At 36.0% G+C, this 27,896-nt stretch overlaps 1 protein-coding gene across 3 annotated transcripts in view, besides 2 other annotated features; it reads left to right on the top strand.

The window, feature by feature from the left end:
• PPP3CA (protein phosphatase 3 catalytic subunit alpha) overlaps positions 1-27,896 on the top strand; it is a 324,109-nt gene that overhangs the window by 212,013 nt on the left and 84,200 nt on the right. For all 3 annotated transcript variants that reach the window (NM_001130692.2, NM_001130691.2, NM_000944.5), the window contains exon 3: positions 26,436-26,560. In NM_001130692.2, coding sequence (NP_001124164.1) covers positions 26,436-26,560 — 125 coding nt within the window. The remainder of the gene's footprint in view (positions 1-26,435; positions 26,561-27,896) is intronic.
• Positions 8,192-8,241: a silencer, noted in NCBI's record as "silent region_15590". NCBI's record gives its function as "represses an Ori minimal core promoter by ATAC-STARR-seq in GM12878 lymphoblastoid cells {active_cell/tissue: GM12878}" and the evidence as "EXISTENCE:reporter gene assay evidence [ECO:0000049][PMID:35858748]".
• Positions 19,983-20,804: an enhancer, noted in NCBI's record as "OCT4-NANOG hESC enhancer chr4:102035867-102036688 (GRCh37/hg19 assembly coordinates)". NCBI's record gives its function as "activates a minimal SCP1, AML or CMV promoter by ChIP-STARR-seq in naive and primed H9 embryonic stem cells {active_cell/tissue: H9 hESC(naive and primed)}" and the evidence as "EXISTENCE:reporter gene assay evidence [ECO:0000049][PMID:30033119]".

Below are 27,896 nucleotides of genomic sequence, written 5' to 3'. Positions count from 1 at the left end.
TGATTCTGTTTTTTAGACCAGGTAGCCTCCGTTTTTCTTATAAAACAGTGTTTCAAGACCCAGAATAATGTTAATCCTGAGTGTATTCTGTTTTGCCAGTGTGTGTTAAAAATACGGAGTTCAGAATAAACTGTTGCACTAAGGGTTTCAACACAGACATGGCAGACATGGCACACATTGCATGTACCAACGACTAAAATTTCCAGGACATTTTTCAGGTGATCGTTATGGACCCAGGCTTCTCACATATTGATTTTTTTTTTTTTTTGAGAAGGATTAAAATTTTTTTATTGTTATTATACTTTAAGTTCTGTGATACGTGTGCAGAAGGTGCAGGTTTGTTACATAGGTATACATGTGCCATCGTGGTTTGCTGCACCCATTAGCCCATCATGTACATTAGGTATTTCTCCTCATGCTATCCCTCCCCTAGGCCCCCACCCTTCCACAGGCCCTGGTGTGTGATGTTCCCCTCCTTGTGCCCATATTTTCTCATTGTTCAGTTCCCACTTATGAGTGAGAACATGCGGTGTTTGGTTTTCTGTTCCTGTGTTATTTTGCTGAGAATGATGGTTTCCAGCTTCATCCATGTCCCAGCAAAGGACATAAATTCATCCTTTTTTATGGCTGCACAGTATATATGTGCCACATTTTCTTTATCCAGTCTAACATTGATGGACATTTGGATTGTCCCCAAGTCTTTGCTATTGTGAATAGTGCTGAAATAAACATACGTGTGCATGTGTCTTTATAGTAGAATGATTTATTATTCTTTGGGTATATACCCAGTAATAAGATTGCTAGGTCAAATGGTATTTCCAGTTCTAGATCCTTGAGGAATTGCCACACTGTCTTCCACAATGGTTGAACTAATTTACATTCCCACCAACAGTGCAAAATCTTTCCTATTTCTCTACATCCTCTCCAGCATCTGTTGTTTCCTCATGTTTTAATGATATGGCCATTCTAACTGGCGTGAGATGACATTGTGGTTTTGATTTACATTTCTCTAATGACCAGTGATAATGTGCTTTTTTTGTTTGTTGGCCACATAAATGTCTTCTTTTGAAAAGTGTCTGTTCATATCCTTCACCCACTTTTTGATGAGCTTCTTTGTTTTTTTCTTGTAAATTTAAGTTCCTTGTACATTCTGGATATTAGCCCTTTGTCAGATGGACAGATTGCAAACATTTTCTTCCATTCTGTAGGTTGCCTGTTCATTCTGATGATAGTTTCTTTTGCTCTGCAGAAGCTCTTTAGTTTAATTAGATCCTATTTGTCAATTTTGGGTTTTGTTGCCATTGCTTTTGGTGTTTTAGTCATGAAGTCTTTGCCGACGTCCTGAATGGTATTGCCTAGGTTTTCTTCTAGGGTTTTTATGGTTTTAGGTCTTACATTTAAATCTTTAATCCATCTTTAGTTAATTTTTGTATAAGGTGTAAGGAAGAGGTCCAGTTTCAGTTTTCTGCATATAGCTAGCCAGTTTTCCCAACACCATTATTTAAATAGGGAATCCTTCCCTCATTGCTTCTTTTTGTCAGGTTTGTCAAAGATCAGATAGCTGTAGATGTGTGGTGTTATTTCTGATGCCCGTGTTCTGTTCCATTGGTCTATATATCTGTTTTGGTACCAGTACCATGCTGTTTTGGTTACTGTAGCCTTGTAGTATAGTTTGAAGTCAGGTAGCTTGATGCCTCCAGCTTTGTTCTTTTTGCTTAGGATTGTCTTGGTTATATGGGCTCTTTTTTGGTTCCATGTGAAATTTAAAGTAGTTTTTTTTCTATTCCTGTGAAGAAAGTCAATGGTAGCTTAATGGGAATAGCATTGAATCTATAAATTACTTTGAGCAGTATGGCCATTTTCATGATATTGATCCTTCCTATCCATGAGCATGGAATGTTTTTCCATTTGTTTGTGTCCTCTCATTTCTTTGAGCAGTGGTTTGTAGTTCTGCTTGAAGAGGTCCTTCACATCCCATATAAGTTGGATTCCTAGGTAATTAATTCTCTTTGTAGCAGTTGTGAATGGGAGTTTGCTCATGATTTATTTCTCTGTCTATTATTGGTGTATAGGAAAACATGTGATTTTTGCACATTGATTTTGTATCCTGAGACTTTGCTGAAGTTGCTTATCAGCTTAAGGACTTTTGGGGCTGAGATGATGTGTTTTTCTAAATATACAATCTTGTCGTCAGCCAACAGAGATAATTTGACTTCTTCTCTTCCTATTTGAATACCTTTATTTCTTTCTCTTGCCTGACTGCCCTGGCCAGAACTTCCAGTACTATGTTGAGTAGGAGTAGTGAGAGAGGCCATCCTTGTCTTGTGCCAGTTTTCAAAGGGAATGCTTCCAGCTTTTTCCCATTCAGTATGATATTGGCTGTGGGTTTGCCATAAACAGCTCTTATTACTTTGAGATACGTTCTATCAATACCTAGTTTATTGAGTGTTTTTAGCATGAAGGAGTGTTGAATTTTATCGAAGGCCTTTTTTGCATCTATTGAAATAATCATGTGGTTTTTGTCCTTGGTTCTGTTTATGTGATGGATTATGTTTATTGGTTTGCGTATGTTGAACCAGCCTTGCATCCCAGGGATGAAGCTGACTTTATCGTGGTGGATAAGCTTTTTGATGTGCTGCTGTATTCAGTTTGCCAGTATTTTATTGAGGATTTTTGAATAGATGTCCATCAGGGATATTGGCCTGAAATTTTCTTTTTTGGTTGTGTCTCTTCCAGCGTTTAGTGTCAGGATGATGCTGGCCTCATAAGATGAGATAGGGAGGAGTCCCTCTTTTTCTCTTGTTTGGAATATTTTCACATGAAATGGTACCAGCTCATCTTTGTACCTCTGGTAGAATTCGGCTGTGAATACATCTGGTCCTGGGCTTTTTTTGGTTGGTAGGCTATTAATTACTGCCTCAATTTCAGACTTGTTATTGGTCTATTCAGGGATTCAACTTCTTCCTGGTTTAGTCTTGGGAGGGTGTATGTGTCCAGGAATTTATCCATTTCTTCTAGATTTTCTAGTTTATTCATGTAGAGGTGTTAATAGTATTCTCTGATGGTAGTTTTTATTTCTGTGGGATCAGTGGTGATCACCCCTTTATCATTTTTTAGTGTTTCTATTTGATTCATCTCTCTTTTATTTTTTATTAGTCTGTCTAGTGGTCTATTTTCTTAATCTTTTCAAAAAACCAGCTCCTGGAATCACTGATTTTTTTGAAGGTTTTTTTGTGTCTCTATGTCCTTTGGTTCTGCTCTGATCTTAGTTATTTCTTGTCTTCTGCTAGCTTTTGAATTTGTTTGCTCTTGCTTCTCTAGCTCTTTAATTGTGATGTTAGGGTGTAGATTTTAGATCTTTCCCACTTTCTCCTGTGGGCATTTAGTGCTATAAATTTCCGTCTGTACACTTCTTTAGCTGTGTCCCAGAGAATCTGGTACATTGTGTCTTTGTTCTCATTGGTTTCAAATAACTTCTTTATGTCTGCCTTCATTTGGTTATTTACCCAGTGGTCATTCAGGAGCAGGTTGTTCAGTTTCCATGTAGTTGTGTGGTTTTGAGTGGCTTTCTTAATCCTGAGTTCTAATTTGATTGCACTGTGGTCTGAGAGACTGTTCATTATGATTTCCATTCTTTTACATTTGCTGAGAAGTGTTTTACTTCAAATTATGTGGTCAGTTTTAGAATAAGTGTGATGTGGTGCTGAGAAGAATGTATATTCTGTTGATTTGGGATGGAGAGTTCTGTAGATGTCTATTAGGTCTGCTTGGTCCAGAGCTGAGTTCAAGTTCTGAATATCCTTGTTAATTTTCTGTCTCATTAATCTGTCTCATATTGACAGTGGGGTGTTAAAGTCTCCCACTATTATTGTGTGGGAGTCTAAGTCTCTTTGTAGGTCTCTTAGAACTTGGTTTATGAATCTGGGTGCTCCTGTATTGGATGCATATATATTTAGGATAGTTAGCTCTTCTTGTTGCATTGATCCCTTTACCATTATGTAATGCCCTTCTTTGTCTTTTTTTTTATCTTTGTTGGTTTAAAGTCTGTTTTATCAGAAACTAGGATTGCAACCACTGCTTTTTTTTTTTTTTCTTTCTATTTGCTTGGTAAATCTTCCTCCATTCCTTTGATTTGAACCTATGTGTGTCTTTGCACATGAGATGGGTCTCCTGAATACAGCACACCAATGGGTCTTGACTCTGTATCCCATTTGCCAGTCTGTGCCTTTTTATTTTATTTATTTATTTATTTATTTATTTATTTATTTATTTATTTTGAGACGGAGTCTCACTTTTGTCACCCAGCCTGGAGTACAATGGCGCGATCTTGGTTCACTACAACCTCCAACTCTTGGGTTCAAGCAGTTCTCCTGCCTCAGCCTTCCAAGAGCTGGGAATATAGGCCCCCACCACCATGCCCCACTAATATTTGCGTTCTTAGTAGAGACGGGGTTTCACCAGGTTGGCCAGCCTGGCCAGGCTAGTTTCAAACTCCCTAATCTCAGGTGATCTGCCCACCTCGGCCTCCCAAAGTGCTGGGATTACAGGTGTGAGCCACCACACCCAGCCCAGTCTATGCCTTTTAATTGGGGCATTTAGCCCATTTTTATTTAAGGTTAATATTGTTATGTGTGAATTTGATCCTGTCATTATGATGCTAGCTGGATGTTTTGCCCATTAGTTGATGGAGTTTCTTCATAATATCGATAGACTTTACATTTTGGTTTGTTTTTGCAATGGTTGGTACCAGTTTTTCCTTTCGATATTTAGTGCTTCCTTCAGGAACTCTTGTAAGGCAGGCCTGGTAGTGACAGAATTCCTCAGCATTTGCTTGTCTATAAAGGATTTTATTTCTCCTTCATTTATGAGGCTGGATATAAAATTCTGGGTTGAAAATTCTTTTCTTTTAGAATGCTGAATATTGGCCCCCACTCTCTTCTGGCTTGTAGGGTTTCTGCAGAGAGATCCCCTGTTAGTCTGATGGGCTTCCATTTGTGGGTAACCCAACCATTCTCTCTGGCTGCTCTTTACATTTTTTCCTTCATTTCAACCTTGGTTAATCTGACAATTATGTGTTTTAGGGTTGCTCTTCTCAAGGAGTATCTTTGTGGTGCTCTCTGTGTTTCCTGAATTTGGATGTTGGCCTGTCTTACTAGGTTGAGGAAGTTCTCCTGGATAATATATTGAACTGTTTTTTCCAACTTGGTTCCATTCTCCCCATCACTTTCAGGTACCCCAATCAAACATAGGTTTGGTCTTTTCACATTGTCCTGTATTTCTTGGAGGCTTTGTTTGTTCCTTTTTATTCTTTTTTCTGTAATCTTGTCTTCATGCTCTGTTTCATTAAGGTGATCTTCTATCTCTGATATCCTTTCTTCCGCTTGGTCAATTTGGCTGTTGCTTCTTCTATGTGCTTCATTAAGTTCTCGTGCTCTGTTTTTCAGCTCCATCAGGTCATTTATGTTCTTCTCTAAACTGGTTATTCTAGTTAGCAATTCCTCTAACCTTGTATCAATGTTCTTAGCTTCCTTACATTGGGTTAAAACATGCTTCTTTAGCTCAGGAGGAGTTTGTTATTATGCATCCCTCTGAAGCCTACTTCTGTCAATTGGTCAAACTCATTCTCCATCCAGCTTTGTTCCCTTGCTGGTGAGGAGTTGTGATCCTTTGGAGGAGAAGAGGCATTCTGGTTTTTGGAATTTTCAGCCTTTTTGCACTGGTTTGTCCTCATCTTCGTGAATTTATCTACCTTTGGTCTTTGATGCTGTTGACCTTCAGATGGAGTTTCTGTGTGGACATTGTTTTTGTTGATGTTGATGCTATTCCTTTCTGTTTGTTAGTTTTCCTTCTAACAGTCAGGCCCCTCTGCTGCAGGTCTGCTGGAGTTTGCTGGAGGTCCACTCCAGACCCTGTTTGCCTGGTTATCACTAGCAGAGGCTGCAGAACAACAGATTGCTGCTTGTTCCTTCCTCTAGAAGCTTTGTCCCAGAGGGGCACCCACCAGATGCCAGCCAGAGCTTTCCTATATGAGATGTCTGTTGACCCCTGCTGGGAGGTGTCTCCCAGTGATGAGGCACGGGGATCAGGGACCCACTTGAGGAGGCAGTCTGTCCCTTAGCAGAACTCAAGCACTGTGCTGGGAGATCTGCTGCTCTCTTCAGAGCTGGCAGACAGGAACGTTTAAGTCTACTGAAGCTGTGCCCACAGCTGCCCTTTCCCCAGGTGTTCTGTCCCAGGGAGATGGGAGTTTTATCTATAAGCCCCTGACTGGGGCTGCTGCCATTCTTTCAGAGATGCCCTGCCCAGAGAGGAGGAATCTAGAGAGGCATTCTGGCTACATCGTCATTGCTGAGCTGTGGTTTGCTCTGCCCAGTCTGAATTTCCCTGGGCTTTGTTTACACTGTGAGGGGAAAACTGCCTACTCAAGCCTCAGTAATGGCAGATGTCCCTCACCACACCAAGCTCAAAAGTCCCAGGTCAACTTCAGACTGCTGTCCTGGCAACAAGAATTTCCAGTCAGTGTATCATAGCTTGCTGGGCTCCATGGGGGTGGGATCTGCTGAGCAAGACCACTTGGCTCCCTGGTTTCAGCCCCCTTTCCAGGGGAGTGAATGGTTCCATCTCGCTTGTCTTCCAGCCACCACTGGGGTATGAAAAAAAACTCCTGCAGCTAGCTTGGTGCCTGCCCAAACAGCCGCCCAGTTTTGTGCTTGAAACCCAGGGCCCTTGTGGTGTAGCCACCCGAGGGAATCTCTTGGTTTATGGGTCGCAAAGGCCGTGGGGAAAGCGTAGTATCTGGGCCGGAGAGCACTGTCCCTCACAGCACAGTTCCTCAAGGCTTCCCTTGGCTAGAGGAGGGAGTTTCACAACCCCTTGCACTTCCCAGGTAAGGTGACGCCCCGCCCTGCTTCTGCTTGCCCTCTGTGGGTTATAGCCACTGTGTAACCAGTCCCAGTGAAATGAACCGGGTACCTCAGTTGGAAATGCAGAAATCACCAGCCTTTTGCATTGGTGTCGCTGGGAGCTGCAGACAGGAGCTGTTCCTATTCGGCCATCTTGCCCAGGAATCAAAAATTAATTTTAATAAAAAATTTTAATTGACAAATGATAATTGTGTCCATATTCATGGTGTACAACATAGTGATGTTTCAATACATATAATGTATGATGGATGATCAGACCAAGGTAATTAGCATATCCATCATCACAAACATTTATCATTTCTTTGTGTTGGGAACACCCAATATCCTTTTCACTATTTGAAAATACATAAAATATTAATTCTAGTCATCCTGTAGTGGTATAGAACACTATAACTCATTCCTCCTATCTAGCTGCAATTTTGAGAAGGATTTTTATGTTAGCTCTCAGGGCACATAGCCTCTTATTAGGATAGGGAAGACTGGACAAGTCTGTGGCCTAGATATCTCTATGTGAGGGATGCCTTTCCATAAAGACTCAGGGGCTTATGATGGCAGAAAGTCCTATATGTACATCAGAGATGTAGTAGCTGACATCAGTAAGGATCCTGTATAGAGCACAGTCCCCAGAGTGAGACTGCCTTGGTTTGAATTCCAGCTCTGCTACTTATCAGCTTGGACAATTGCTTAATCTTTCTCAATTCTCCATCTGGGAAATGATGATAAATACTTGTACTCACCTCCTATGGTTACAGAAAGGTTAATTGAACTATTTCATCCAAAATGCTTAGAAACATTGCTTGACATATTTTAAGACTCAAAATGTTGTTGTTGTTATTGTTGTTGTGCATATGTATAGCAATAGAACTCAAATAATTGAGTAATACATTTGGTGTATTTGTTTCTTAGGGCTGGCCTCAACAAAGTGCTACCAACCGAGTCACTTAAAACAACAGAAATTTATTGTCTCACAGTTCTGGAGGCCAGAAGCCTGAAATCAGGATGTAGGCGGGGCCTTCTTGCCTCTGAAACCTCTAGAAGTAGATCCTTGCCTCTTCCAGCTTCTGGTAGCTCCAGGCCTTTTTTTGGCTTGTGACAGCAAGATTCCATTTTCTGCCTCCATCTTTACATGGCCTCTCTGATTCTGCCTGTGTTCAAGTGTTTCTTTAATTATAAAGACACCAGTTATATTGGATTAAGGCCCATCCCAATCAAGCGTGACCTGATTACATCTGCAAAGATCCTATTTCTAAGTATAGTCACATTTGTGGCTACCAGGGGTTAGGTCATCAACATATTTTTGGTGGGGGGTAGAGCACAGTTTAACCCATAATATCTAGAACAGAGACATTCAAAGTAGAGGAACTGGATGTACCAGAAGCAAGCAGAGGGCACTAATGGAGTTGGGGGTGAGGTGGAAGATCTAACAAAAGCTGATATTTTGACATTTAACTAGTGAATAGGCCTAGAGGTTTCTCTGAATAAATGATACACCCAAATCAAACCTCAGATAAGGGAAAACAAGATTTCTGTCCCCTGGGATGGGTGTAAGGGGCAGAATTTGGACTTAAATCCTAGAGGAATCAGGGTATTGAACAGATTCTCAAGATGTAAGCAGTAGACTTACACTTGGCACTTACCCTGTTCACTTTTGGAAATGTCTTTCCTTAAACATGGGATAAATGGCATCTTGGCAATTTCAAAGTGTTAATGTACTATTAACAACCTTCATAAAAACAGCATTGTAGATTGTAGTTGCCTGGCCATTTTCCAACACAGGTAGATTTTACTTATGTAAGGTGTTTTTGAGATCTTCTGGGAATGAGAATGTGTTTATTTTCTGTTTTTGATACTTAACTAAGTTTGCTTTGTGTAGCCAATAGGTATTGTCTCATCTCGAGAGCTTTACTGGTGGATAAATATGAGTTCGTCAGGTTTTTGAAGTGTTTAAAGATACAATGAATAAAAGGTGCATCATAAAAAGAGGTCTATTATCATAATCTCTGTATCTGTACGATCAGAATTTCCATAGTAATCAGTCTTGATTTCCTAAATACAGGATTATGACTGTAAGTGAGAAGCAATAATCTCTGAAATATTAAGGAAATTCATCTTTTGTATCTTAGTAAAAAAGTATTTTGTGAATACCATATTAATGACAACTGTGGAAAGAGAAATATGGAAATTGTACTTAACTTAGAATTTTCTAATCCTTACAGGAATTTGAATCAACGAAGATTAGATCATCCCCTAAGTGGGTTTTTATATAGTTGTTTCATTTCCAGTTTTCCATGCCTTTTTAACACTTGATCTTTGTATGAAAACTACTGCCATATTCAGAGACATGAGTCATGGTACTTAAAATGTTTTCACCATATTTTAGACATCACAGGATACTACAGTAGGAGAAGAGTAGTCTCTTGGCATTCACAATTTTTACATTGTAAGATTTGACCTTTCACAGTAGTTCATTACATGTGTTAATTTAACTCATGCATTATTCTAGCAGATTTCTCAGCATATGAATTTCATTTTGGCTTTTCCTTTAAAAATATTGTGTATAAATTTACCTGCACATCTCTCTTCCTACCCCCTACCATGTAGTATGAGTGTTTATTTCCTATGAAAAAAGATATCCATGAAAAGAAAGCAAGTTCCATTGAAAGTGAGAAGAAAGTGATGAGGTGATGACTTAATAGCCAGAAAGAATGGCTTCAGATAAACTAAAGAATAAAATGTCATATTGTTCAGGGATTTAGATCTGTAATATAAATGAATCTATTATAAATTCTATGCAGAAACTAGGTGGGGTGAATATAAAATGGTTTCAGTGAGTTTTCCAGGTCTTGCCAAGATTGCTGAAGTAAGAACCTGACCTCTAGCCAAGGCACTGGAATGGCTACTGCAATGATCTTTATGATAAAGAGAAATATATAAGAGTTTTTACTTCTTAAAAAATGCACAAACCCCTGCTTGTGATTGTTGCCTGGAATATTTTTCCCAATCCCTTTTCTTTTGATAATAGGCTTAGCCTTCCTCCTACCAGTAGGAGGGAGTGAACACATGACCCAAAACTGGCCAGTCAGTATGCACCATTCCCTGGATGCAGTGATTGACTCATGAGTGTGCAGGAGACCTTCAGAGGGCCAGTCACATTTATTTCATGGCATAGTTTTGCTGGAATTGGTGGATCTAACTTTTAGGTTATCGAGCTGGCTGGATGTGATTTAGAAGATACTTGGAGTAGGTGCAAGTGCAGTAGGTGAAAGTAAGATCAAAGTGCAGAGAGAAGTTGATCAAGAGTGAAAGAGGCAGGCTTCCTTTAAGCTCAGATCCATTTGCGCCTGAAGGCGGTGTTTATATTGTACTGCATTTTATGAGGGAAAGATATGTTTAGTAATGTTCGTGAATGGCAAGATTTGCAAAGAGCTTAAGAGAAGATCCTGCAAGTGGCTTAAGTTTCTATAGTATCTTATACCCCCCCTGCCTATGTGCTAACGAGCATTTAGACTTCATTAGCTTTGAGGCTTTGATGAATTGAATCTCTATTTTAAGATACCTCGAAACTCTTTGCTTCATTTGAAGTACATTATATTTACAAACAGTGAAAAGAATATTTTACATCTGTAGATGAAAAGTGAAAGCAAGATGTAAAGTGCATCAATTAATAATTCAGTAACCTGTGAATATTTAGCTACTTTAATAATGAATATCAATGTGAAAGAGCTCTGTAAATGATGGGATTTTAAAAGCATGGTAGTAAAATGTGCTCCTCAACACCAATACAGTTTTCTCTTTCTTTCTTTCTTTCTTTCTTTCTTTCTTTCTTTCTTTCTTTCTTTCTTTCTTTCTTTCTTTCTTTCTTTCTCTTTCTTTCTTTCTTTCTTTCTTTCTTTCTTTCTTTCTTTCTTTCTTTCTTTCTTTCTTTCTGTCTCTCTCTCCCTCTCTTTCTTTCTTTTTCTTTCTTTCTCTTTTTTCTTTTTTTGAGACAGAGTCTTGCTCTGTTGCCCCAGCTGGAGTGCAATGGCACGATCCCGGCTCACTGCAACCTCTGCCTCCTGGGCTCAAGCAATTCTGCCTCAGCCTTCCAAGTAGCTGAGATTACATGCCTGGCTAATTTTTGTATTGTTTTAGTAGAGACGGAGTTTCACCATATTGGCCAGGCTGGTCTGGAACTCCTAGGAACCTCAGCTGATCTTTCCACCTTGGCCTCCCAAAGTTCTGGGATTACAGGCATGAGCCACCACACCCAGCCCAACATAGTTATTTCTATGTACTTCATTAATATGTAATTTCTATTTTAAATATTTCTGCAGTTTTTTTTTCTAATTTGGTCATATTGTGTGAAAAGTGGTAAATAAGAAAGCAGTGTCATCTTGCTTGCACTTTACATCTACAGATGTAAAATTGGGACCATCAGTTACCCATTACCTAGCATTCAATTAAAGAAGGCAAGATAGAAAATAAGATATACAAAACTCTTTAAAAGCCTAGCCTGATGCTAGTGATATTTTAACATTGAAATATTATTGTAACCATTTATTAAGGGGATAGTTCTAATCAAGTGGTGCTAAAGAAAGCTGTGGTATAGTAGGAATAGGGAGCTTACCTTCTGCCGAAGTATTAACCTGTACCAGTTATTCTAGCTGTCTTCTGTGAGAGTACTATTCTGTACAAGTTACTACAACTTTATCAAATTTTTTATCTTTACAACCACTTTGTATGGGAGATGATATTGTCCTTATTCTTAAGAACTTGAGGCTTAGATAGGTATAATTACTTGCCAGAAGCAAGATAGAGTCTTTCTGTTGCCCATTTTTCTTCCATGGCTCCTCTTTGGATGAAATTCAAGCTTCCTAGCCTGGATGACAAGACCCTGATTATCTATCCCTTGTTAATCTTTTGGGGGGTTTTTTTGTATATTTTGTAGAGATCTGGTTTCACCACGTTGTGCAGGCTGGTCTCGAATTCATAGGCTCAAGCGATCTGCCCACCTCCACCTCCCAAAATGCTAGGATTATAGGCGTGAGCCACTGTGCCTGGCCTGTCCCTTGTTAATCTTTACAGCGTCATATCTTTTCATTCCACACCTAAACTTCAAGTTTATAGATCTTTCACTTCCTGTAATATGACATATGTTGTTTCTACTGTGAGCAACATTCCCTTTCATGTCCCACTGTTCTGTGACTAACTCCTCTTCATTCATCAAGTTTCCGCTTAAGTACCACATCCTCCAGGAGACTTCATCAAGTTCACCATTGATGAGCATGATGAATGAGTCCACCATGAACAATGCCCATTGCATTGTTCCTTCATTCATTCAGCAAATATTTATTGAGGATCCCCTATGTGCCAGGCACTATCCTAGGCCCTAGGAATGCAACAATAGACAAAGAAGAATAAAAATCTCTGCCTTTGTAGCTTGTACCCTAGTATTATTAATTATTTAATTCAGTGTCACTCATTAGATGTTTACTTCTGTTAACATTCTTGGGGTCTAACACAATGGGATATTAAAAGAATGTGGTAAGCATTTAATATTTATTGAATCAAAGGAGAGATGAATGGCTTCACTTATTATTTTAATTTATAATTGTCTTGAAGAAGTCAAAGAATGTTCTGTTTGGCCCCTTTTATCTTTTCACACTGCCACCATCATAATACCAGACCTCATTGTCTTGTGACTGTAGTAATGCAGCAAACCTCAAATTAAAAGCAACTTTTTTTTTCAATTTTTCTTCACCATTGGATTCTGCATAGAATTACCAGATTTATCTTCCTAAACATTACAGGAATTGTTCTCCTCGAAATACCTTATGCTGGAATTTGAGACCCTTATAATATAATGTCACCATCCTTCTCTGATTTATCTCTAGATGTTTCACATATACTCTCTGTTCAATCCAGTTTTTTGTTTGTTTTTTGCAATCCACTTATTTTGATTCATTTGCACCTTTCTGCCTAGAGGTCTTTCAGCTTATGACAAATTTCATCAATGCTGCAAGTCACTTCTTTTTGGTTAAGTCTTCTTTGATAATGTCAGCCAACCTTCTTTTCCTTAATTTCTGATTTCCTGTAAGAATTACTGTCTATACCTATAGTATTCCAAAGCCTTTTGTAAGCAGCAGAATCTACCCTGTGTCACATCTGTAACATAAGTACGTGTGCACATATGCACACATGTACCTGTGTACACACACACACATACAAAGAGCTCTTACATGGAAATCCAAGGTATAAAAAAAGTTAAAAGTATAGCTTACTGTACTAATGACCCTGACACTCCTCAAGAACCCTTCCACTCCACAGAACATACTTGAAGCCAGTGTTGTGACCTCAGTCACACTGGTCTTTGGTTCCTCTCACTATTCCAAAGAAAAAGTCAGAAGTGGTCAGGATGACTTAGCATTGCTGAGAGAAAAATTACTTTCTCATGAAACAGAAGGAAAGAGTCATATTTGTCATACCTGCTACAGCAACCATTTCAAGCCTTGTGTTTTTTGACTTCCCATCACTTCCCAGGAAACATGTGCAGGGAACAGGGAGTAAAGTCAGATTTCATCCCTTTCTCAGGTTCTGAGACACTTGAAATGCTAGAGAGCCTCTAAACTAGATTCTTCTGAAACTGTTTTAGCAGTTCACATTTCACATATGTGTGGACCACAGAGAAAAGTCCATGGTCAAACGTCAGTGTCTCCTTATTGATAAAAGGCCAGATCAGGAGCAGTTAACTAGCTGGAGGCCCCATCTGTTTTCTGTTCATATGTGTAAGTCTGTATATCCCAAGCATACTCTATGTTCCTTGAGAAAATCAGTTGTATTTGTATACTGTAACTATAAAGTTACTCATTATTTTTAAATTATTTCATATAGGCTTATCTTCCCAACAAGTTCAAAAAAATAATGACTATTTTTTTTAATTCTCCATTACACCTATGGCACAGCAGGTACTTAATAACTACCTGTTAATTAAAATGAAATAAAATATCCTAGTTTATGTACTTAGCTATTATTTAGAGTTTTAGAACGTTTTTCTGTTCTGACATATTAACTTTATATACAATATAACTGTAGGGAAATCAAGCGTTATTTGTAAAATATATTTCAGATTTGTGACATGACTAATAAGAGATTTAGGATTTTTAAAGACACTTATGTCTTAAAACTATGTATTAAGAACATCTAAAATTTTTGTTTAAATACATTAAGCAAGGAATATAGAAGATGCGAAGAATTTTGGAAATTTAATGAAGTAATGTTTATAAGGTAATGCAGCTAGAAATTGTGTGGTTTTATAAGGCAAACTTTTCTCAATAAGAAGCAGTTTAATAACTTATCAAATACATATTATGAATATGTGTTTCAATTTTCTGCATTTTGTCAAAGGAAGGGAGAAGAGTTGATTGATAATCCTGACTGATCTTTTTAGCAATTCTAGTATATAAACAACACTCATCATTTTTAATTGACAAAAATTTAACTAAATTTGAAATTAGGATTGCTAATGAATCACAATTTATTATGAACCAGCAGCTATTTTATGTTTTCCAAACACCTGTGTTAATTTTCTATGATCACTCAGTTTATATGCCATATATACCATGTTAGGCAAACATGATTTTTGCATAGTTTCCTTAGATATTTGTGGTATACTGAAGAAACAAGAAACTTAAGACCCGATTCATGTTTAAATTAGAGACAGCCACATATGTAAATTTTCAAAATATTCAAAGACTTTATGGATGTTATGATTTAAGTCAGTTTAAGATACTGTGACACCTATTTGTTTTATAGAGGTAAACAAAAATGATTCATCTCACTGTGGCATATAAAAAAACTTTTATATAGTGTCTTCAATTGAACATTAGTCCTGACATGTAAATTTAAGATAATCTAATCTAAGTTCTCAGATTTTTAGATTTGTACTTCTTTTGGACAAAGAAAACAATCTCATGCCTTTTCTTAATGTAATTTGAAATTTCAAAGTGAAAACATCATTATAAAAGTAAATGTAAAGTATTTATAATTTAACAATTATTTTTAGAAAAATTATATATGCTACTGCCTCTGTTGAGTAATGTGATGGATGGAAATGGGCAATAAAATGATTTGCCCATATCAGACATCAACGGGAGACCTAAGGCCTAAACCCGTAGGAGTTTCCAGTACAGAGAGGGAAATCCACTGATGTCAGGAAGCTGATGCTTTTCAGTACCATTGTTTATATCTACATCTTCTCAAGTATGCCCTTCTTGAAGCCATATTTTTATTTTTGTTATTATCCCAGTATAATGCAGCACAAGTGAAACGTCAACCAGTCTTCAGTGTTTATTCATCTTTTAATACAGAATATTTAGTAAATATTTCATGTTTCAGTGTTTTATTCATTGTTTGGATATTTAACTGAATAAATATTTCTGGAATATCTACCTAGTGAAAGATATGTAAGGGAATGAAAGATAGATTTTTAAAATCTAGTCAGAATTAATAAATGGGTTCAATGCCTTTGTCAGACTTATTTTTCAGATAACACTTTTTCTTAACAGATTTTCTTAGATTTTAAATGAACCTTTTCAAATATGTCTGAACAATATTTTAATAATTTATCAATTCACAATTACATATTTAATTTCCAAATATGCTGCACATAACAAGTAAGCTCATATATTTTTACTGAGGGAAGTGATAGTGGATAATCAGTCTAATCATTCCTTTGCTTAAGGCATTTAAATATTGCCATATAAGAATAGCACTTACTAGCTTTGTTCACTTACTGGAAATTAGATGGAGCTGAATACTTAAAAGTCAATTTTAGCCAAAACCCTTCTGCTGATATTCCCACTGCCTATAATTGCCAAATTAATAATGAATATGTGGACTTTAGAATTAAATGTCATTCCTTGCTTGCCTTAAGATTTTAAAATATTAAAAACAAAATAATCCTTTAAATTGTCAAAATGTGAGGACTATCATGACAAGGAAGAGGAGTGATTTTCTTTTTTTCCCTATGTAGAAAATTTTCCTTAACTGAGTTTTCCAGAAATCTAAGAAAGTTTTGTGTTTTTTTGTTTTTGTTTTTGTTTTTGTTTTTTCAAAAAATCCATTTGGTGAAATGTCTTACATTACTTCTGTTTACTCCGTCACTTCCAGCTTTTGAAACATTACTACCATTACATAGCTGTGGAACACAGTGGTCTTGTAAATGAGCTTTGCTACAAAAGAAAATGAGACTAACTGGAAACTCGTCACGGTGCTGCCACTCTGAAAGACTGGTAGTATCACCAAAGCCATTTAGAGATATTACCACTCTTAGAAAATGGAAATTGTGGAGTATGAGACCTAGTCTATTTGATTTCAGCCTTAATAGCTTTCAATATATGATAGCATACATTTGGATAAAATGTGGAAAAATATAGAACAACTTTTTGTGTAGTTTACTCATGGCCACATTGATTACAGATGTTTAATTCATCTATCTAAATCTTGCAGAACATTCAAAATGTTTCTTAGGTAGACAGTTTCTGAAATAACTGCCCTGTCTGCTGTTTCACATTTTGTTAGTACATACCATGTGCCAAGCTTTTTTCTTCCTTACATTGCTTGCTTCATTGTTTAAAAAAAAAAAAAAAAAAAAAAATCTGTAAGTTCTGAGTCTCCTTATAGATGAGGCAGCAGAGGCCTTTTACAAATACCTCTCTTGTTCCAGTTACACAAGTCATAATTTACTGAGCACGATGGTAAAATCCTTTAAAAATGTAGTAAAAAGAACAGAGTATGCATATGCAAAGGAGGAGATTGGGGAAAGCAAATTAGAAGTCTATGCATTCTGTAGACAGTGAAAGCTGGTTCAAGCAGAATGAATAAGAAAGTAATTTAAAAAGAAGGCATCACTTATTGACTAAGGTCAAACAGGAGGAATACACATAAAAACCAGAAACTAACTTCAAGCAGAATGAATAAGAAAGTAATTTAAAAAGAAGGCATCACTTATTGACTAAGGTCAAACAGGAGGAATACACATAAAAACCAGAAACTAACAGCAATTATGATGATAATATTCCAAAAAAAATCTGAGTGAAGAAGAAGAAGAAGAAGAGTAATAGCAAACCCTTGTGATAATAAGTGCCAGGTGTGTAGTATGTGCTGCTATTAAAGTAAATGATGTTCAATTATTTAATTTATAATTCTGGTTTCATGATAGTCCTTTAAAGGAAGTGCTATTTTGATGTTCATCTTTACATGTGAAGAAACAGATAAAGAGAGATTAGCTGATTCTCCAGGGTCACTCAGCTGATTGGGTGGTGGAAATTGGCTTTGGAACCAAGCAGTCTGGCATCGTAGTCTTAGTTCCTAACCATTGCACTATACTGCCTCTCCAAAGGGTGAAAGAACATATCCAGGAAAAAGCAAAATGCCAGAAATGAAAGAATACTGAGTGAGACACAGTGTTAAGAAACACTAAGATTTTTTAAAAGCCCTAGAAACATAGGCTTGGAAGGCCCAAAGTGGAAACACTAAGACAGCCGAACACCCCAGATCTGGACAGTAATGACAGTCCATCTTTCAGGGTCCTAGAGGGAGTTAATCTGAAACCTGAGATGAGTATTTCTAAAGTGAAAATTAGTAATTTATTAATAATAACTTATTAATATTTATATGTAGTTTATATGTACTGATCAAATTTGTATACATTCGGCTGAAATTATATCAACTTATAATGTTCATCCAATACTCTTGATGGGCTGGTGATGATAATCAAGGACCTTGTAAACTACATAATGTAAATAAATTCACATATCAAATAGCCACTGGTTTCCAGGACTGACCAAACTTGGACACAAGAACAGGGTGATGAACAAATTTAATTAAATACTGTCATAAATGTTATACATACTTACTTGTAATTATATATTGTAATTGTATATTGTAATTATATATTGTAATTATATATTGGCACCACAACCGTGACTATAATTTATATAATGCTATGATGCTATTATAAACCCTTAATAATTAGGCATCTTTATTATAATATTATTTGGTGCTAAAATGGAAAAATAGTGGTATCAGATGGAAAAAAATGCATTCCTTATTCAATAAATTAAATCTTTTAAAGTATTCAATCAATGGAGGAAAAACTGCAAAAAAAAATCTCAGTGGTGAGAACACTCATCTTTAGGACAAAAACATAAACATAGGTTGCATTAATTTACTTTTTATTGATTGCAATAGTACACTGTGGTCATAATGATGGTATTGTATATGCTTGGGCCTTTGATAAAATAGTTTTTAACATGTAGACTATTCTGTTTTGTTTCCATCTGATTACAGTTACGAACTGAGAATTAGGGGATGAATGAAGTATTTAGTACTGGTTTATTGTAATTGTTAATAACTATTGTAATCTACAATATATTTTATTCTTTCTTTTTTAATTTCCCTGCACTGTTTCTCATTAACATTGGCTAACAGTTTATTTATCTTCATAAAACAGCATCATAAATATAAAGAAATGTTTAAAATACTGCTATTAATCTGTACTGGTGCTATTATTGTTTTGTATTTGATTTTATAGCTTTATTGTTTCTTTTAAAATCCTTGCAATTTCATATATATATAATTTTTTATTACCAAAAAAGTGCTGGTAGAAATTTCTGTATTTACCAAATTTTGATTTGATTTAGAGACTTTTTCATTATTGTTCTATATCATCAAACCAGAATGACCTGGTTAATAATTCACAGTTTGTTTTTTATAAAGTGCCTAAAACATATTTATCCTTTGAAAAAGTAATATTCCCTATGGGAAAATATTATTTTGAAATATACCTCTTTAGTAAATTAGAACGATGTTATTTTTTCTTATTTAGTTTATTTTATGATACAGATTTCTAGATATAAGCAAATGCTGTAATAAACTGCAGTGTCCCCTTTATCTGAGTAATTGTCTGATTTTAGAAGTTTGTGCATTCTGTTAATGAACTACACATAGCTGGCTAGCTGGTTTGTACTTGAACTTACCATCCACTTATGGTTCCATAACCCTGGATTATCAACAGGAGGAAGCAGATATATACTTGTAGTATATATCTGTGGTTAACCTCTAACAAAACCTCTAAACAAAATCTTTCTCTGCAAAATTGTAGATTTTGGAAAAGAAGAAAGTTTTGGTAAATAGAATATCCAAAAACCAAATCAATAAATTCAATAAATTAATCTCCTCATGCTGAGAATTAGACATAAATTTAGTTCTTTAACATTATGGATTTTATTGTCTTGGGGAACTGTGGCTATTATGGAAAAAACACTGGGTTGAAGTAAAGGAAGCTGAAAGTAGTGAGGAACTCCAATGGTGAAAATTGCTAAACGATTCAGTAACGTCTTTTCTAAAGGAAAAATTGTGATCTGTTAGTTTAGTATGAACTGGAAAAACTTGTATAAGAAGTTTTTCTACTTCATGCAAGTCTTCCAAGATGATAAAAGCCAGTATTTTGGAGAAACTAAAAGGTCTTTATAGAAAAATAAATAATGAGTCAAGAATTAAGAGCACTTGACTTCTAAATCGTAGTATTGACACAGTCTTGCTGAACAGTTTTGAAATGCTGATACATTAAAAATCTAGTTTTCATTTGCAGTTTGTAAATTTATTGTTTCACAATTTTTAACAACATACTCCTCTGTCCCCAGACAACCTAATTTTCGTAAACTTTAACATGAAATTATATGATATTATAAAATTTTTGCTCATTGTTAACAAGTTGACCCAATGATGTTCTTTAACGGATTTCCCTTTCATACAGGCAAGTAAATAGGACCAAATGTGTAAGTCTTTGCACTAAGTGAAAGATATTGTTGAGTAATTTTATGTGAAAATGTATATTTTATATTACATTGGTTTTGTATCTTCTATTCAGGGTGACAGCTGTATCAGAGTTCTTTTCAAGCTATTATTTGTATAGCTCTTATAGTGAAACCTTACCCTAAGGTGTTCAGTATTATCTACTTTGGTTTACATTCTCTAATGCAATAATTTAATTGCCAGTATGAACTTAGAAACAATATAATTCTTTGAAAAAATAATCAAATTATAATATATATTTATTTGTAGATTTGCTAAATTTATTTAGACTTGCATACCTAACACTTACATAAAACAAGATTGGTTCTTGTTTTGAACACCTATCCCTTCTCATTAAAGAGCTACCAGCATCTCTCTGGATAGAAGATCCAAGGCAAATGCTTGGTTCTGGTCATGTTTATCTTTCTGACCTGTCCTCTCTCCTTTGCCAAGATTCTATTCTCAAAGGCCTCTTTGTCCTCAATATGCTGGCTATTATCTTCTCTACTTAGAAGCACACTGGTTTTAGGGATTCTTAGACTCGCCCTGTGACTGATTCATTGTTCAGTTTGTGTATTGCAAGAGCTTACTCAGCTAACTACAAAGAGTCCCTTGTCACTGCCCTTGGTTCTTATTTTTCTCTCATCAGCACTACTTTGCTGTAATCTATAGTGAGTAAAGTCCTGAACTTCTGTTTAATGACTCCTGGACTACCACACCACCCATTAGTCTCTGAATTCCTCCTTTGTGGTGGGTGGCTTTATACACACACATAGACACACACGTTAATATTTATGTTTTGTTTGTATGTACTTGAACCCCCATGCCTGTGATTTCAAAGCTTTATAGCTTTCCAACAGTGATATTGGGGTTGGGGGAAGCTCTTCCTTTCCCTAAGAAATAAAGACAAATACTTTCTGCATGTTATTTTTCTGTTCCTATTTCAAACCTCAAAATGCTTCAACTTAGATCAAAAGTCTTTGGCACCACTCCTTTGTGAAAATTATTTCCCATAAAGTTTTGCTTAAAATGGGCTAATGGAGGGAAGGAAGCAATATTAAAAGGCAGTTATGCAAAAGTAATTGTTTGCTTAGGCCTTAATTAGTAGTTGATTATTTAGGCAGAAGATATGTATTTTCTGATAGAAAGAGATAAGTGATAGTGTATAAACATCACAGGATATTGGCCACTCTTGCCACCGTTTGTTTAGATTAGCGATATTCAGAACTGCTGAGTGACCCGACTTAGGGAAATTACCAAGATAGATTATATTAGATTAATTGCACCAAATAGATTAAACAGCTCAGTGTATCTGATAGTTCTTACTTTTCCAGTACAAAACAAATGACAGGTTATTTCTCACAGGGAAAATAACCATCAATATTTGTGTCATATCAGGTTGCTAACAGATATGAATAGTAATGCTCCAGAAAAATAAACTTATGTTTTATTTCAATATATTTAATGTGTTCATTTTGTTAAATGCTATAACTCTCTAAATTTCTGACATAAGTATATACAGTTCTGTTAATAACCTGCTGAAGACATAATAAAATTTTTGGAATATTCAGCCAGATGAATGGATATTTTCATAGAGCGCTAGGAGTGTTTTAAATACTTGTATTGTGCATCTATGTTTTTGATGCTTTTTAAACATCATAAGTATTTGGGTACCCCACCCACCAGCATTCTAATTAGGAATAGGAAGCAAATAATGGGAAGCCAGGAGAATGTGGGAAGCATTTAAGTGTGAACTTGCCTTAAGGGCAAAAAAATTGTCAGAGCCTGGTTGTTCAAGAAGTGCTGTCAAGGCCAAGTAAAGTAGAAGAAAAAAGGACCTAGCCTCCTGAGGATTTGGGGGCCCTGAGCAACCAAGCAGACAGCTTGTATTATCAGTTGGCATTGGCATATTGTGCTGCTCTTTGGACACCAGTATCTTGGGTAACCAAGAAGATGGAGGATGGGGACCAATAGTAAGTGAATATTATAGCCAGGCAAGCCTTTACTCTGTGTGATGTCATGGGCCCAGCCTCCATCCTTTTGGGTATCTCCTGGATACTTTAGTATGTTGACCACTTTCTTCCTGAAATTTGATATCAAAATGGTGAATGAGATAATAGGACTTAAGGATAAATCCCTTATCTTACAGCTGAAATATCCAAGGCCTGAGCAATAAATACAATGAAATACCCAAAGACATGTGGTGTTATCAGCCTTCTTAGGTTCATCCCTCCTTCCTAGATGCCATCAATCACTTACGATTCTTTCATATAATAGTGAAGTCCTAATCTCACAGCAACCTAGAATGAGCAATGAAAGAGGTTGCCTTTCCAGTGTTCATCTCCTCCACACATAGCCCCTGTGAGGGGGACCATACTAGTACACAGAATGAAGGCTGTGTGTGCTATGAGAGGCTCAAAAGCATAGGTGTATTTAGTAATACTGAATAGGTAAGGATAGATCCAAGAGCTTGTTAGTGAATCTGCATCTCTGGAGATTCTGATTCAGGGCCCATAAATCTGTAGTTTCAAAACCTCTCCAAGTGGTTCTGATGTAGAGTTAGGTGGGAAAACAACCATAAGATGTATGGAGGTTCCACATTCTACCCCAGACTTGCTGCACACTGTATTGAAACCTGTGACTTAAAGGCTTAAAATAAGCACAATCTCAGATAAGTTGAAGGCCTTTGGTTTCCATCAAAGCAAACTCCACAAACTTGTCAATCTCTATCAATCACAAGGGTATCTCAAAATCTCTGGCCTCTTAGTTGAGGATTTTCAAATTAAGCATAGCGTAGGCCCAATAGAATAATCCTAGCACAGCAGGTGTTTCTTGTGTGCCTCCTGGGCACACAAGTGTCTAGGCACTGGGGATATGGCGGACAAGACTGACAAGTTATCCAGCTTAGCAGTGGTTATATTTCAGTGGGAAGAATCAGAGAAGAAACAAGCATGCAAATAAATCAATTAGATAATGCTAATTGTGGCATAATTACTGTGAAGGATGATAGTGGAGGGAGTTTGCTCCTTTGTACAGGATGGTCAAGAAAGACCTTACTGAGCATGTGACGTGTATGTGAGACTTTATGGATGAAAGGAAGGTAGCCTATGAAAATTCGAGGAAGAAAATACCTCCATTTTTTCCATTATGTTTTATTTTGAGTTACTGTTTTGTTGGGCTTTGAATTTTTCTATGATTATATGCACGTCATTTTCCTTTACTGAACATTATGATAGGTGGTCTTTCTATAGCAGACCTATGGCTATTCTAAGGTAAAGTCAGTGACAGTGTGATGATATGTGTAGCTAGATTTCAGGGTATTTTGTTTTCCATGCAGAGTTTACAGCAATTACTTTTTTCTATTTTATATCATCAAGCCAAAATCCAATTATTGCAGTGATATTGTAAATCATTGAGATTATCTCTTATCACAAAGTTATTATAGACCAGGAAGAAGAGATTAATTTTGTTTTTGTAAAACTAAATTCATGATAATGTACTTCTATACTTAAGCAAAAGAAAAAATATCCTTATAATATTTGCATTGTCTAGAGACATTTTTTTTTCATTCTGGCTGCCAGATTATGCTTCAGTTGTATGTTAGTGTCTATAACTGCTTAATGCCTAACCCGCAGTTTACAACCTAAATTAATGTCTTGGTATTTATGTCATTTACATATACAGAGGTAAAAATCAATTATCCTTGAATCTTCAGACATGGCCAGGAATTAAAATGGAAGAGTAAAAAAGATACAAGAAGCTAGAAGGGGAGAGAAAGGAAGAAGATGCTTTAGAATGTCTCCAGAATGCCTTCCACTCCTTATTCCTCCCACCTCCAAGCACCGGAGTTCTATTCTGTCTGGGACCTTGACATTTTAAATACAGCCATTTTGAAATGCCATTTTGATACAGCATCTGTTAAATTCTTATTAGACTCCAGAAACTCTTCTAAGCTTGTTACGATATTAACACATTTAATTCTTACAATAGCCCAATAATGTAAGGTACCAGTATCACCCCCATTTTATAGATAAATACATTTGAAGCTCAGAGAAGTTGAGTAAATTGTCCAAGTTCACTCAGATAGTAAGTAATACAGCAAGGGTTGGAGCCTCGGTAGTGTGGATCCAGAGACTAGGCCTTTAAATGATACCCCACACCGCCTCTAATGCCTTTGATTAACCATTTTGTCTTGGGGATGTTTTAATAACAGCCTAAAATATGACTGTTAAACTTGCCATAGAGATTCCAAATAATGTCTGAAGCCTATGTCTTAGCCCCTCACTTGGCTTCCTGTTGTCCCTGAGCTTAACTTACAAATGTTTGACCCTCACCTCTCTGTTAGGCAGCAAGGAGAGGGAGAGAGCCAGTAGCAAGACATGGGCTATACAAAGTGTCAGCGTCACACCCATTGACATGTGAAGGGCTGCATAAAATTCGTTGCAAGGAAATGTCTTGCTTCATAATTTGTTTCCTTGAAGTTCCTTCCTTCAACTTCCAAACCTAATGGAGGGCACGTGAAGGCATGGTTTCCAGCCATATATTTTCTGTTTTGTAATTTTTGGTTTGAAACATGTCATATGTATGACAGATATAAAGTTTCCTACAATTTGAGAGAAAGTGGTGCTTGTGATAAGTAATCCATACCAACTATAATTTCAATAGATACATAGGTAGAAGAGTAATTATATTATTACTTGTTAGCTAATAAGCTTTATCCTTGCCTATTTAAAAATTTGGTAACAAAAATGTGCTAATTAAGTTTTTAAGATGGATATTTTTAAAATTATTATGCTCATATCTTATATGTACACACATATATAAAATATATAAAAGTTTTAAGAAGTGTTTTACTATTTATGTTAGTTTTTACAGCTCCAATTATAGCTGTGGAAGTCCCCAGAGCAGGTACTGGCATCCATGCCTGGCAATGCTTGGACCATCCCATCCAGTGTTCTCTATTTATTCCCCCTTGGTTTAGATATCACATATGATTACAAGAAAGCACATATGTCTCTCACAAACCAACTTCTCAATGCCTCAGAATATGGATTTATTTGCTCAGCTCTAAGAATAAAAAAATTATTTATAAACTATGTTTTAAAACATATTTTTTCAAAAATGGAAGAATATGTTTCTGGTGTTTCTACTGTGTATCTCATGCTCAAGAGAGGGAAGAAGCTATATGATTGGAGTCTACCAAAGGGATGCATTAGTAGTAAAGATCCTTGTTATTTACAGCCATTTTGTTAGTATTTAAGATTACCAAGTGCAGACATTCTAAAATGGAATCCACCTGTACCTACTTCATGCTTATAGTGCTGTGGGTTCTTAGTAGCTAATTCTTGACAGTAAAGACAGGAATTTATAGCATGTAACATTTTTATTTCATTGTTTTATAATTATTTCATCATTGAACCCACTTGACTCTTTTTTTCTATGATCTTTTGTCAAGTAAGGAAATAAAATTTAAAACATTTTAATAACTTGCTTGTAATTGCAGGATATAATGTGTTAAGATCTACTTTTGGCCTCCTGATTTCTTATTCACGAATGCGTTCATTCTGTGTAACTCTTAGTGTTGCAGAAGCAGCCACATCATGTTCACCATTCAAGCACAAAATTTTTAAAATATTACACAATATATATACACATACACACATATATATTAGTATAAATACATAAAAATATCAAAGATACCATAATGTGGTGGCTGACAGGAAAAGCTTTGGATCAGGTGAATCTGAATTTAAGCCCTGGGTCATTTATTTTTAGGAGTGACCCTACCAAGCCACATAACCTCTCTAAGCTATATTATTTCATTATCTGTATAACTGAGATAAAAATATTATTTTTAGAGTTCTGAAAGTGGAAACGAAATAAGTATTAAATAAGTGAGTTTTTAAAAGAGACAAAATAGCTCTTCCAAGAAAGTTGGTTTAAAAGAGAAAGTGAGAATGTTAAGAAATACCAATTCCCAGTAATTTTTTTTGTATTATGTGTCACAGCTTTTAATAATTGTAGTTTTTTTCACTTTAACATTTTGTAAAAATGCTCCTTTATAATTTAAGTTTAATTGGAGTTTTTTTTTTTTTTTTTTGCCTTAGTGGTACGTAAACTAATGATGTGTCTTACAATGGATAACATTCTAGATTCAGTGAAATGCAGGTTTTATGATACATATCTACATTTCTTTCTCTTCAGGAGGCAGTAATGTGTAGTGGCCATGTATTCAGACCTCAGTTGTACATAGATTATGCCAAATTCCTGAACCATTCTTTGGTGTCGTCTTTTACCTGCAAAATGAAAACATATCTCATGGCATTTTTAGGGTTACATTAAAAAATGTGTGTAAACATCCTGGCAGCGTCTCATAAAGAATTTTTAAGTGCACAATGATAGCCATTATTGTTATTATTCTCTTCTTTTTTTTTTTTTTTTTTTTTTTAGTTAATCTGTATACTAGTGGACTCAGACATTAGAGCCAAGTTTGCCACTAATTAAATTTGGAAACTTGAGCAAAATACTTAGCTTTTCTGTCGTACTTCTTGTTCTGCAAAAGAATGTTTTGGCTCAGATAAACTTGAAATTAATTCTGGTTCTAAAATTTTGTAATTTTATTATTTAATTCAAAGTCCTAACATAATATGACCATAAAATGAATTTTGTTTCTTTCAGTTTGTGGGGACATTCATGGACAATTCTTTGATTTGATGAAGCTCTTTGAAGTCGGGGGATCTCCTGCCAACACTCGCTACCTCTTCTTAGGGGACTATGTTGACAGAGGGTACTTCAGTATTGAAGTAAGTCTACATCATGTCTTCTTTGCTGTTCAGTTATGGATTAACAGTATCTCAAAAAAATAAAAGCAGTAAATGTTATTGCCTTATGGAAACCTCTAACAATGAAATTTAATTCACTTAATTCATAGGATATTACATATTATATTTTCAGTTGATTCCCATGTGTTTTTTGTTTGTTTGTTTTTGAGACGGAGTCTCACTCTGTCGCCCAGGCTGGAGTGCAGTGGCGTGATCTCTGCTAGTGAGCAGAACCTCTGCCTTCTGGGTTCAAGCCATTTTCCTGCCTCAGCCTCCTGAGTAGCTGGGATTACACGCGCCCACCACCATGCCCAGTTAATTTTTGTATTTTTAGTAGAGATGGAGTTTCACCATGTTGGCCAGGCTAATCTCAAACTCCTGACCTCAGATGATCCGCCCACCTCGGCCTGCCAAAGTGTTGGGATTACAGGCGTGAGCCACCATGCCCGGCGTGATTCCCATATTTTTTAATAGAGATGCCAAAAAATGGTAAATAGTAAGATTTTGCCTTTTGTACATTTTATATATTTGCAAATTTTCAAAAATTACGTTTTGCTTTACAATAAATAATTCCATTTTCCATTGAAAGAAATAATCAATGTTGATCAAATAAGCAGGAATGTATTTGCATGTTTATGCCTTATAATTGTGAGACAGTAACTTACCTTTGTAAATTGATAGCAAACTGCATGTGTCTCTGTCTGTGGTTGTCTATGTGTGAGTACACTTACAGCTGCTGTATTTTGTCTTTTTTGGCACCTGTCATCTAACTAGGGTAATTTGTCAAACTCATTAATTAAAACAAAACAGATAACCTTTGAATAGAGGTTCTTCCACAGCCTCCCATCTGCATCTGCTTTAGGTAAGTAAAACTACATTCAAAATAAAGGCAGAGACCTTGTTTTATTCATATCTTTGTTCTTCCTGGTGCCTAACACGGTGTGTTAATAAATAATTTATTGAAAGAAGTGGTTTGAAATTGAATAAGTTTTAAAGAATCAGACCTCATGTATAGTAGCTGACATGGGCTATCAAAAGAGATCATTAAAAAGGAAAATGATTATTCTTAATTAAAGAGAGAAATCAACATTATTGTCTCACACCAACATCATATATTCATAATAATCATAGAAAAACATTCTATATTTCAAAATTTTTATTTCAGTGTTTTATTTGCTAAAGGGATATTTAAGGTTGAAAAGCATGTCATCCTTAAACAGCTTTTGTTTATACAATTATATCAGTTTTATTTTTCGGTTATTTAATTCACCTTTAGTCACTGACTACACGCAGACACAGAAAAGTTTATGTAGACATA

This window comes from Homo sapiens, chromosome 4, assembly GCF_000001405.40.
Source record: "Homo sapiens chromosome 4, GRCh38.p14 Primary Assembly".
NCBI lineage: Eukaryota > Metazoa > Chordata > Mammalia > Primates > Hominidae > Homo > Homo sapiens.
Note: the sequence above shows the minus strand (reverse complement) of the source record. Positions and strands in the feature narration are given on the sequence as shown.